At 40.4% G+C, this 12,593-nt stretch overlaps 1 protein-coding gene across 2 annotated transcripts in view; it reads right to left on the bottom strand.

The window, feature by feature from the left end:
* CTR9 (CTR9 component of Paf1/RNA polymerase II complex) overlaps positions 1,495 to 12,593 on the bottom strand; it is a 28,501-nt gene continuing 17,402 nt past the window's right edge. Inside the window, exons 17-25 of one of the 2 annotated variants that reach the window (NM_014633.5) lie at positions 10,915 to 11,031; positions 10,609 to 10,754; positions 9,625 to 9,696; positions 8,586 to 8,721; positions 7,968 to 8,114; positions 7,072 to 7,229; positions 5,938 to 6,034; positions 5,608 to 5,720; positions 1,495 to 2,562 (exon numbers count right to left, since the gene is read on the bottom strand). In NM_014633.5, the coding sequence (NP_055448.1) occupies positions 2,136 to 2,562; positions 5,608 to 5,720; positions 5,938 to 6,034; positions 7,072 to 7,229; positions 7,968 to 8,114; positions 8,586 to 8,721; positions 9,625 to 9,696; positions 10,609 to 10,754; positions 10,915 to 11,031 (1,413 nt within the window). In that variant the 3' untranslated portion in view covers positions 1,495 to 2,135. The remainder of the gene's footprint in view (positions 2,563 to 5,607; positions 5,721 to 5,937; positions 6,035 to 7,071; positions 7,230 to 7,967; positions 8,115 to 8,585; positions 8,722 to 9,624; positions 9,697 to 10,608; positions 10,755 to 10,914; positions 11,032 to 12,593) is intronic. The other variant, NM_001346279.2, reaches the window with a different exon arrangement.

Below are 12,593 nucleotides of genomic sequence, written 5' to 3'. Positions count from 1 at the left end.
AGTGGAACCAAAACAAGGGATACTTTAAAAGCTCCAGGAAAGTCACATTTCCTGGAGATTCAAAATATTTTTCTCAAAGGGAACTAGGAAGAATTTTTTAAAGGATGACCTGTGAAAGAGTAACTGACCTAGTCCCCACTTAGGTTAAACGAGCCAAGCTTGAAGAACAGTGCCAAACATTCAGAGCCAATTCAATCACATGCATAATTTTATTGGGAATTTACAATGCATTCATCACTTAACCTACCTTAACTCATCATCCTCACAACATTCCTGAGTTGGGTATATAGTCTTGCTATAACGGGATAGTCTGCTTAAAAAGACTGTTAAGTAATTTCAGTGGGGAAGGGGTTTAAAGCTTCAGATTCAGAATGGTTTTTCTTGTGTAAATTTCAACAAAATTTATTTTTTAATTAAATAGCTCTAATTTTATGGTTGTGGTGCTTGGTCTAGTTCCAAATGAACATCAAAGACAATGCAAGTCTTATTCTCTAATTGTGACATTGAATTGAGGCTTTCAAAGATTAACAGTGGAGAAATGGTTTGATTTAGATGAGGCACGTGGCCTATATAGGGGAAGTAACTTGCCCAAAGTCACATGGTTGGTTAGGGTCATGAAGTGAGATTCCAGTCCTGGACTCCTGGGTTCCAGTATCTCTGCTCTCAGCTCTGTTGCCCAGGCTGGAGTGCAGTGGTACAATCACGGCTCACTGTAACCTAGAGCTCCTTGGCTCAAGCAGTCCTCTTGCCTCAGCCTCCCAAGTAGCTGGGACTATAGGTGTGTACCACGGCGCCTGGCTAATTTTTAAATTTTTCTGTAGAGATGGGGCCTTGCTAGGTTGCTCAGGGAGGGTCTCAAACTCCTGGCCTCAAGCGATCCTCCTGCCTTAGCCTCCCAAAATGTTGGGATTACAGGCACGAGCCACTGCACTAGGCCCATTATCTATGCTGCCTGTTCCTGCTGACACCAACTCCACTAAGAAATGGGAGGCTGATCCTGAGGTATAGGCAGGAGCCCTGGCTCAGGCTGAGTCATCTCAGGACTCCTGTCCTTCAAGAAACCTTGTCTTCACTGCTTCTTCCAACCTCCTTTTTGCTCCCACAACCTGTGCAAACATCATCACCCTATTTCTCACACCACAGGAACAACAAATTTATCTTTACTCAATTTTTGAAGACAAGAAGGGAACTTTATCTCTGCATTCTCACCTCAATGGCTAATATAGCACATTTAATAATACTTGTTGACTACAATAATTAAAGCTCTTACAAACCACTACATAAAAATATTAGTGTTAATTACTGAATTACTGAAAATAAAAATACATGCTGGTACCTTAGTTTTCTTGCATCTTTAAAATAAACACTCCACGAATCTGTAAGAATTATAAAAGTCTTGAGGCTTAATGTAGGATTTTTCAAATATTTGCATAATTTATGCTACACTGCCATGCACAAATATATCGAACAAAAAAAGACACGAAGTTACCCATAAAAGTTGGTAAAAGAATTTTATTATTATGTGGCTTAGGTAGGTTTTTGCATTCTACTAACAGAAAAGCATTTTCCACACCTTATTCAACCTAACACATTATACATTTGTGATTTTATCTACATCGCTGCAGTATTACACTATTGAAAACCTTCCTTTCAAATGTACTTTGGTGCAATTATACAGTAGATATCTCTGCCTTCAGAAAATAAAAATATTCTCAATCTAAACTCAAAATGGAATAAAGACATCAATACCAAGTTTGTGCACCACTTGGTAAAAGATTGCAATAAAAATCAGAAGAGTATGCTGCTTAACATATAAAGAAGATGAGACATCTGCCACAGTTTCAGTCAAACCTTTGTAGGAATGATTTAGCATCTGGGTTTATTTTTACTGCAGTTTTCACATATGATAGGTGGAATTGTACCACAAAGAATAGTCTCATTTGCACGAGAGACTCAAATATTGGACTCTAGCACAGGAAATGTCTCTTGGGGCTTAGTAATATACAAACTGATAGAAAAGAAAATTGCCTTAAGAAAAATTTCACAATTGACTAAACATCTGAAACATTTTTATCACAGCTTTCATATATTAAAAAAGTTTCCTCCAGAGATGAAGCTTATTGATGAAATAAAACCTAGTCACTATCATCTGACCCATGTTCTGAGCCTCTATCTGAGGCCTCATTGTTGGATCCCTCTGGTTCCGATTCATTTCCAGAGCCTTGGCCAGAACCCTCATTATCAGATCCTCTCTCCGATTCGTGATCTGATTCGGCACTTGGAGAAGCTGGGCGAGAGTCGTTCTCAGAAACTCCTGAGTGGCTTCTCCCTGACTGCACAGATTCATTGTCAGACTGCTCAGAACCGGAGGGCCTTCTCTTTCTGGATGGCTGGTCACTGTCTGAGTCCTGATCTGACCGCTGTCTTCGTGGCCTCCGGGGACTGCCGGCCTCGCTGCCAGACTTGTTCTGGTTCTCATCGGAATCACTCTCTGATGAGGCACATTTCTTTCGTTGTTCGTCCTCGTCTGAGTCACTGTTGCTGTTGCTGTTCCTGGGATGTCTGGCAAAGATGATCATTGGTTAGAAGCTGAGGATTCTGGCTAACTGGGGCCTTGATGAGCAGACAATGTGCTTTTAAAACAGAAGGGCATTTAATATTCTATTTCTTGACCTAAATAGTGGTTACACAGGTATCATTCTGTGATACTTGTTTTGTGTACTATTCTGTAAATGTGATATATTTCACAACTCAAAAAGGTTTAAAAAGGAAAAAAAGATAAGGCACTTTAGCTATAAGTCAAAATATAAACAGGGATGGTGACTCACTGGACACTTTTCATCAGAATGAAGCATTTCCCAATTTCATATATAAAATTATGAAAAGGAAGGGATACATTTGTTTATCTCTGTACACAAATTAACAGCAACAAAGGTGAAATCCAGGATCTCAACTGGCTTGAAGACTTTGAAGAATTAACCCTTTTCCAAAGGCAGAAAAGGGTTTCAAAGGACATTTCCCTGTCCTATTGCCATCGGTGCTAACAGGTACCTGAAGAGTGAGGTCATTATTCCTGTCCTAAGATTTGCTACTGCACTAGGTCCCCTCCACCATGACCAGACTTGCTCAAGATAGGGAACTGGGGCTAAAGGGGCCCTTTGGTTTATTTCCCTTTGCTCCCAAGCTCTCCCCTCTACTTGTCAGTTGATAAGTGAAAGGAAAGGGGAAGTCATGCTTATGCTTAGAATGGTGGCAGCACCCTCAGAGTCTTGGCTTCCTGGAGGCTCTGAGGAAAGAACATTCCCTTAACCACGGTGACCGCTCCTTTGGAGCAGGCACACTTCTCTGGCACGTTCCTTAGTTCTGGTTTTCATGACAGATATTCCAATAAAGGAATACTGAATCCCACAGAGTTCGGTCTAGGAACGGTGAGGGAGGTGAAATATATTACTCTCTTTCTGTATACATATTAAAGACCTGTGGGTCTTCCCTGGGATCCAATTCACTCCATTCCATCTTGCCAAATAAGCAAACACACTTTATGATGGTCAGGACAAAGCTTAACTGATGCAAGTGGCTCAAACAAACTTGGCCTTGACCTCAGGTACAGATTTGGCAGCAGCTCAGCCTCTCACAATGGACCTTTCTGCCAACACATTTAATAGTGCTCAGTCTTTGAAAACCACGTATTTCATTACACTGATCATGCATGTCTCTAAACAGACCTGGGTAACACTATGGGGACAAGGGCTAAACAGTGCTTTACGGAAAAACAATCCAGATGTGTCAGCCGGTGCCTTCAGAGGAAAAGGGAACTGCAAATCTTTTTTTGTTTGTTTATTTTGCTTTTATAAAATTTCTGTCTCACTTGCTGCCCAGGCTAGTCTCACTGTGCTGCCCAGGCTAGTCTCAAACTTCTGGCCTCAAGTGATCCTCCTGCCTCAGCCTCCCAAAGTGCTGGGATTATAGGCGTGAGCCACCTCACCTGGCCAGAACTGCAAATCTGGTTCTTTATAGATTACCTCCCTATGAGTCCAATCCCCACCAGAAGCCTTAGCCTCCTCAACATGCTAACCTCTGCCTCAGGAATCCCAATTCTTCTAAGACTCAACTCAAACACCCTTTCTTTTAGAAAAAAACATCTCTTACAACTCCTACCACCACCCAAACTCAAGACTAGGTATGGTTCCTGGAGAACAATAATGCAAATTTACATGATACATTAATCCAACTATAATGTGAGCTTTTTTTTTTTTTTTTTTTTTTTTTCACAAGAGTCTCATTCTGTTGCCCAGACTGGAGTGCAGTGGTACCATCTCAGCTCACTTCAACCTCTGCCTCCTCGTTTCAAGTGATTCTTGTCCCTCAGCCTCCCTAGTAGCTGGGATTACAGGCACACGCCACCATGCCTGGTTAATTTTTGTATTTTTAGTAGGGATGGGGTTTTGCCATGTTAGCCAGGCTGGTCTCAAACTCCTGGCCTCAAGTGATCCGCCCACGTTGGCCTCTCAAAGTGCTGGGATTACAGGTGTGAGCCACTGCGCCCAGCCTACAACATGGTTTTGGTTTATCTGTTCTTTTCCACTGCCTCTGAAGCAGAAATTCCTTGGAGAATTTATGGGCCTATCTTTTCTCTCTGTATTCCCAGCACTTACACTGTCTCACACACTCGATGTTCAAATGTCTGTTGAATGAATAAATGAAAATGATGGCTACAGAAGAACACAGTGTAGTACAGTATTAAGAGACCTGGTTGAGAAATCCAAATGGGGGACAACTTGAGCTTGAGGAGCAAGTTTAGGACAAATAAAATCAAGTATTGCTTCACTGGGTGGGCCATGAACTAAAGGAGTCTTGTGGAAGGAGTCTAGGATAAGTCCTCCACGGAGCAGGTACTGTTGACTTACCACCGCACAACGGGGGAGAAAACAGTCAAGAAATAGCCTCTCTCAACACGGAGAAACCCCGTCTCTACTAAAAATACAAAATTAGCTGGGCATGGTGGCACATGCCTGTAATCCCAGCTACTTGGGAGACTGAGGCAGGAGAATCGCTTGAACCCGGAAGGTGGAGGTTGCGGTAAGCCAAGATTGCCATTGCACTCCAGCCTGGGCAACAAGAGCGAAACTCCGTCTCAAAAATAGATAAATAGATAAATAAATAAATAAATAATAAAAAGAAATAGCCTATCTCCATATGACCAGGACCTGGCTATCTGTAACACTTTTAGTGTGTCAACAGTAGGGCAGCAAAATGATACATTTCATTTAGAAGGATGTCATCTAGGAAATTTCAGCTAACATCCATGAAGAAATGAGACTTCAAAAAAGCTTTTCTTATTTGAGAGAAAAGATGTAGTAGGACAAAATGACAGGGTCAAGTTTCTTCCAGCTCTCAGATTCTAAGAAGCTGGGGAGAAGCCATTTCGGCACAGCAACACTCCCAGTTATCTATTTCCTCCAATTTTCAAGTCTGTCCCCACCCCTCTTATTATTTATAAAGAAAAAGAAAGAAAAGTATATTTTTCTTAGTACAGACAGGCTGATTAGTAATCACTTTTGATTTATCTACATCATGAGAAGAATTTACAAAGAGAAAATATCCTACCCTTCATCAGCAATTTTAAGTTTATCCTCATCCGAAGAGTCATCACTTGATGAAATTATGGCTTTGGATTTTATTTTTCCCTTCATTGATGGAGGCAGACGTTCTGGCTTGGGCTAAAGAATGTCAAACATAATAGATTAGTCAAGACTCTTACATTAGGCCATCTTGTTAAATTGGGTTTGCATTACAATGATACAATCAAACAGCCACTGATGAACTTTGAAAACAAGCATTTGTGCTTGAGAAAGCTGCAAGGAAAGAATGTATTCTAGTGTACTGCAATCTTTCACATCTACTAGGGGACAGAAAAACACAGTACTATAAACTTACAGCCTTTTTCTTCTCTGCTTTTGGTGGACGTCGTTTTTTTGGTTTGGGGCCATTTTCTGTTTCATCATCATCAGATCCTTCTTCTCCCTTTGGATGTCTTAAATAGTGAACACCAAGAGAGAGTTTGTCAAGAGCCTACCTATAAAGTTCCAGACTACTTTGCCATTAAATTATTATTCATTCTGAATCCTCTTCTATATGGGTGCTGTCCTCAATCATACTGTACACTCCTCAAGGGCAGGGGACATAACTTACTCTTGCTGCACGTGGCTCAGAAATGTAAAAACTATGTATTTATGCAATGTCTGCTGATTAGTCACTGCTGAGCTCTCATTAATTTGCATTTGAATCTTGCACTTGGTAGAGTGACAGAGAAGATGAGAAAAGACCCAGGCTCCAGACTTCAACGTCTTTCCCTTCCTCTTCCTTCTTTCCCAACTATTGATTCCAGGGCTGCTACTAATATCCTCACCACAGCTTCAATTCCACAAGTCTGTGTCTTAATGTAGTAGCAGGTTCTTTCCCAAATATAGTCGGCCAAGGGTTGGGAAGGGCAGTCTAGGTAAGATAACTGAATGGAGGTTCCTGGGGACAGGATAGCACAACAAGAGAGGGCCAAAGTAGCTTAGGAGGCACCTCCGCATGAGAAATGGGTAGGGCATCCTTGATCTTAACAGCAGAGAACACTGGGTGGTTTTAAAGGCACTTTTACACACATTCACATCTTATGCATTGAGCAAAAACCATGAGGTAGGCATTGCTGTTACCAACGACAGAGAGGAAACTGAGGCTTAGTGATTTTTCCAAGATTGCACATGCACAGTTAGTGTGGACACAATCCAGGTCTTATTCTAAATCACATGTTTTCCAATAAATATTTAGAGACACAAGAAAGGCAATTATGACTAACTTGCAGCGCTTAGAAGGAAAGCTGTGGAGACGTATGGAAATCCCAGGTACTCAGTGGATTTTGTACTGGGGTCTATCTTAGGATTAAAGTAGGAAGTGGGGGCACAAAAAGCTTCACTGTTTGGATCAAGTGTTCATCAATTCTAAACATCAAAAGATTCAGAAGGTAAAAGGTCTTTCACCACTTTTATGAGGTTACTTAAAGCACATTAATGATGACATTACCTTCTCCTCTTTTTCTTCTTTCTCTCACCACCCTCCTCATCTTCACCTTCTTGTTCACTGCCACTACCCTTTCTTCTCTTCTTCTTTTTGGATATAGGTAGGTCATCATCAGTGTCATCATTGACAAATTCATCAAACTCTCCTCCCTTCTTAGAACGCTAAAATCCAAACAACACTATAGTCAGTTATTTCCTGGTTGGTGGAATGTGGTTAGAATGCTAAGGTACAGAAAGGGGCCATATCCATTGTCATTTGACAATGAAGGATTTTTTTTTTTTTTTTTTTGAGATGAAGTCTCACTCTTTTGCCCAGGCGAGAGTGCAGTGGGGCAATCTCGGCTCACTGCAACCTCTGCCTCTTGGGTTCAAGTGATTCTCGTGCCTCAGCCTCCCAAGTAGCTGGGACTACAGGCATGCATCACTACACCTGGCTAATTTCTGTACTTTTTAGTAGAGACATGGACCATGTTGGCCAAACTGGTCTCAGACTCCTGACCTCAAGTGATCTGCCCACCTCGGCCTCCCAAAGTGCTAGGATTATAAGCATGAGCCACTGTGCCCGGCCCAAATGAAGGATCTTTTACTAAGCCACGTGGAAGAGGTTCTTGGCTAGGCCCAATTAGACTTCTAATTGAGACGAAAGTCTCAACTGGTTAAAACTGCAAAAATCAACTATTTAAAAGATAACTACAAGGTAAAATACACTTAGCAAACCTTGGAATGCATTGCTAAATACTGGATACCATTTAAATCATTCTCTGTGTTAGAAGACTGTCTCTTAACAAAAGAGGAAGTCAAAACTAGTAAGTACAGAAGGAATTTAACCAATTATCCTCATTTCTCAAAGCCAAAAGACAGAGAATGAGGTCACTTGTGCTAGCAGGAATTATATCTTACCCGTCCACCACCACCACCTCTTTTCTTCTCTTTTGTTGCTTCAGTCTCACCAGTAAACATAAGAATATTTTTGGTCTTCTCCACATACTGGGCCCGCTGTTCCAAAAGTTTCTTTTGCTCTTCCTTTTCTCTGAGACGTTTCTCTTCCTATGAGGAAAAATGGTAGAAAAGAAACCCCACTGCAAATTTTCTTATGATGAAAAATTAATGGCTACCATCCTAAGCAGAGGATTTTTTTTTTTCTTTTGAGATGGAGTCTCACTCTGTTGCCTAGACTGGAGTACAGTGGTGCAATCTCGGCTCACTACAACCTTGGCCTCCCAGGTTCAAGTGATTCTCCTGCCTCAGCTCCCCGAGTAGCTGGGATTACAGGTGCATGCCACCACTCCTGGCTAATTTTTGTATTTTTAGTAGAGACGGGGTTCCACCATGTTGGCCAGGCTGGTCTCGAACTCCTGACCTCAAGTGATCCGCCCTCCACCCACCTCATCCTCCCAAAGTGTTGGAATTAGAGGTGTCAGCCACCACGCCTGGCAGAGGACTTTTTTTTTTAAACATACAAAGTGTATGCATGCACACAATTCATTAATTCCAGTATAACTGGAAAATACAAGATACCTGTTCTTTAAGAAGTTTCTGCCTTAACAGCTCCTTTTCTTGCTCTTGCTTGGCCCGCAGCTCCCGCTCTTCTTCATCTTGTTTGCGTGCCCGGGCCACATGGTACTGGGCCTGGCTCAGTAAGTCAGAACACTGCCTAGAACATTTCAGGTTTAGAGAAACATGAATGTAACTACTATATTAAAAAACTCAGCACATCTATTTTCCTTATACAAATTAAAAAATCTGAAGCAGGACCATTAGCTGATCTATGTGAAGTCTTTTTTTAAAAAAATGTTTTTTTTCTTCCTTTTTTGTTTAAGAGACAGAGTTTTGCTCTTGTTGCCTAGGTTAGAGTGTAATGGTGCCATCTCGGCTCACCGCAACCTCCGCCTCCGGGTTTAAGTGATTATCCTGCCTCAGCCTCCCGAGTAGCTGGGATTACAGGTGTGCACCACCATACCTGGCTAATTTTGTATTTTTAGTAGAGACGGAGTTTCTCCATGTTGGTCAGGCTGCTCTTGAACTCCTGACCTCAGCTGATCCGCCCACCTAGGCCTCCAAAAGTGCCAGGATTACAGGTGTGAGCCACTGCGCCCAGCCAAAAAAAATTTTTTTTTTTGCATTACACTTGCCATACCATACCAATGTATGGAGTCTTAATTAGCAAAATTAACTTAGTTTATCATAAGCCAATACTGCCAACTATGTTAAGTTTCCAAACTATAAATGTCCTCTCAAAGCACAGCTAAAAAGATTTCCAACATTATCTTTACATATAACTCAGAGTCATGAATTTTATCTTGACTAGGCTGACATAGCTGACATAAGTAAAATAGAAAAGTATTTTCCCCCAGAACTCAAGTACTTGTACTAAGGCAATTTTGTCCAATTCCCTGAAAGGAAAAAGTCCTGGCAAAGATTAGAGAGTCCCCAAGAGAAGTGTGAAAGACTGACCTGTGGAAGGTCAGGAACCTCTGTTCCCTACTGTGGCACTTTCCCAGCCCATGTAAATATCACTGCCTCACCCAAAGTCACCTTCCATAAATAGTAACATTACCTGGCTTCTGTAGCAGCAAGGGCCAAATCAAATCTCATTTTATCTCCCACTTTACTCAAATAACTGAAGTATCTAAATGAAACGAGAAAATACTTCACTTTTAAAAAAAGAGATTCTAATGAAATAAAGCTCTTAAAAAATTTAATCTGTGCTACAAAGTCTGAGAAAAGGTTTGCATATTGACTGATTTACACAAATTTATGCCACTCATTACATTTAATAGACACGTTCATCAAGATGGTCTAAGTTATATTTAATATTATCAGTAAATTCACAAATAACCACAAAGCAATTCAAGCAACAAGTATTTACTAAACATGAAATTTACTAAATATGTCAGGATGGAGGTTACGGGGCTCAGGCCATGAAAGCACTTATAATTTACCAGGCAAGGCAAGAATTGTTAAACAAGAATAAAAATATTAAGTTGGACAAAACCTGAAGAGATGACAGGTTTTAATTTCACCACACACTGACTCACCATATAAATACTATATGGCTAAATAAATTTTGAGCTGAACTGAATAAAACTATTAAGCATTATTTAAGAAGTAAAACCTTAATCCTAGTTCAATGAAAATCAACATCCCATTAAAAGACACATTGGTGTAAAATGGAAGACCAACGTAAGTGTCCAAAAAATTTCACATGTGTAAAATGCTGGGTCACATTACTGTCAGATTAATAAAAAATCTATGGCAAGTTTGCAAAGCTAGCCAGCCAGTTCTAGAGGTCAAGCTACAAGATCCAAATCTGGCAGGATCCTGACTATAGTTTGGCACCACCTGGTGGCAGCTGCTATCTGCTTTGGCTTAACTATTGCTGGAATGATTCTAATAGACCACCTTTAGAAGGAAGTGATTTTCAGCAGCTTGAGACAAATAGCTTTAAACAAAGCATTTCAGACAAAATCGGGAGAGTTCAAGATGGTATGGTCATAGACCAAATAAAGCATTTCATAGGTTGTTTCTACAAAATCTTTACCTATGTGCAAGCTCCAGTTCTTTCACAGCATTAAGTACTTCCTTCAGATTACTTTTTTCATCTTTCAGGACAGAGGTAGCTAATCTTTGCAGGACCAAGGCCACATTAAACATAAGAACTGTATCACTGGGTGCCACATGTCTAGCCTGTGAATAAAAAATAAATATTTCATATGTTCAAATGACATGAAAAGGATCTTAGACAGCAGAGTATTATTAAGTAGTAGGTATGTGAACACGCATCACGAAGAATTAAAAAATACAATGTAGCACAGAAATGGATGGGAATAACATCTCTCCTTTTTACCTTCAGCAAAGTCTGTTTGCATTCCTGTAACTTGCCACACTTGAAGAGGGCCCGGGCCAAATAGAGTACAACTTCAGTGTTTTGGTGCTTATAGAACTTTCGGAGGCAGTTTTCATACTACAGTAAAAGAAAAAAGTTAATTAAAACACAACAAAGAATAAATGACATTTTCATTTTGTAGCAAAATGGCATTGCAATTTTAAAGCTCTGTAAAAAGGTGTTTTACCCTTTGAATGGTTAATTTCAGAGAATAATTTGGGGAATGATTTTTGACATTCATCAGGATACATTTTCACAACATAAAAAATCTGACCATTAGAAAAACTAGATGCTTGAAATGGTTTCTTTCCATTTGAAATTTGGACCAACATTGAAAGAAAGGGTAAACAGACTGGAAAGCCTTTTTCATACTTTTAGCAATACTATCTAGAATCAGCTTATTGACCACTGATGAGAAGTCATACACCGTTGTCCTTTGCGTTTTACCATCTACACCTTTCTTAACAATGGGCAGAACCTACTGGCAATGAGCATGAGGAGTCTTACAGTTCTGGTTGTTAACTTCTTGGTAAAACCAATACAATACTAGTGTTAATTGTGACATGAACATAGCACTTTTTGACCATGGAATACCTCTTGTCATAGGTAAGACCTTTTTCATGAAAAATGGTTAAGACCATTTTTTCCTGAATATCCCTAGTAGTTAATTTGCATTTATAAAAGACAACATTATCATTCAGCAGATCAGGAAGGCCAGCCTCACAAAACACAACCTCTGAAGCTCCATATGCAATCTAGGTTCTGTGAGTTTCTGTGATTATTGACTTTCCAGTACTCTGAATATTGGTAATAACCCACCCATTTTAGAAAAAGGTAAACCACTTCTCAGGAGCCTGGACTGCTCTTTTTGTCTACTTTTTGTAAGCTTTTCCTTTCTGACCATAATATATCCCACAGAGCCGAAGATCCTTTTTACTTTTTAATTTTATGGATGCTGAGTATGACTTTTATTTCGAGCTCAAGCACTCAACAAATGTAAGCATAAAAAAATTCTACAGTCATTAAATCTTATCGCTGTTTTGTTTTCTTTTTTCTTTTTTTTCCCGAGACAGAGTCTGGCTTTGTCGCCCAGGCTAGAGTGCAGTGGCAGGATCTTGGCTTACTGCAACCTCTGCCTCCCAGGTTCAAGCAATTCTCCTGTTTCAGCTTCCTGAGTAAGCTGGGATTACAGGCACGTGCTACCATGCCCAGCTAATTTTTGTATTTTTAGTAGAGACAGGGTTTCACCATGTTGGCCAGGCTGGTCTCGAACTCCTGACCTCGTGATCCATCCGCCTCAGCCGCCTCAGCCTCCCAAAGTGCTGGGATTACAGGAGTAAGCCACCATGCCTGGCCTGTTTTCTTTTAAATAAGTCATTTAACCTTTCTAAAACTCACAGTTCAGTTTCAGAAACTGAATACACAAATAAATATTCAATCCTACTACTTACTGGGTATTACTAATATGCTAGGCATGCTAGTGCCAAGTAGTTTTCATACGGGATCCTCACAAAATTCTATGAAGTTAAGGTACAATTATCTCCATTTTATAGATAGGAAAACTGGCTCAGAAAGGATGTCCTTTGCCTGAGGCATGTAATTAGTGGTGGAACCAGGACTCACATCTCTGTCTGGATACC

Source organism: Homo sapiens, chromosome 11 (genome assembly GCF_000001405.40).
Source record: "Homo sapiens chromosome 11, GRCh38.p14 Primary Assembly".
Lineage (NCBI taxonomy): Eukaryota > Metazoa > Chordata > Mammalia > Primates > Hominidae > Homo > Homo sapiens.
Note: the sequence above shows the minus strand (reverse complement) of the source record. Positions and strands in the feature narration are given on the sequence as shown.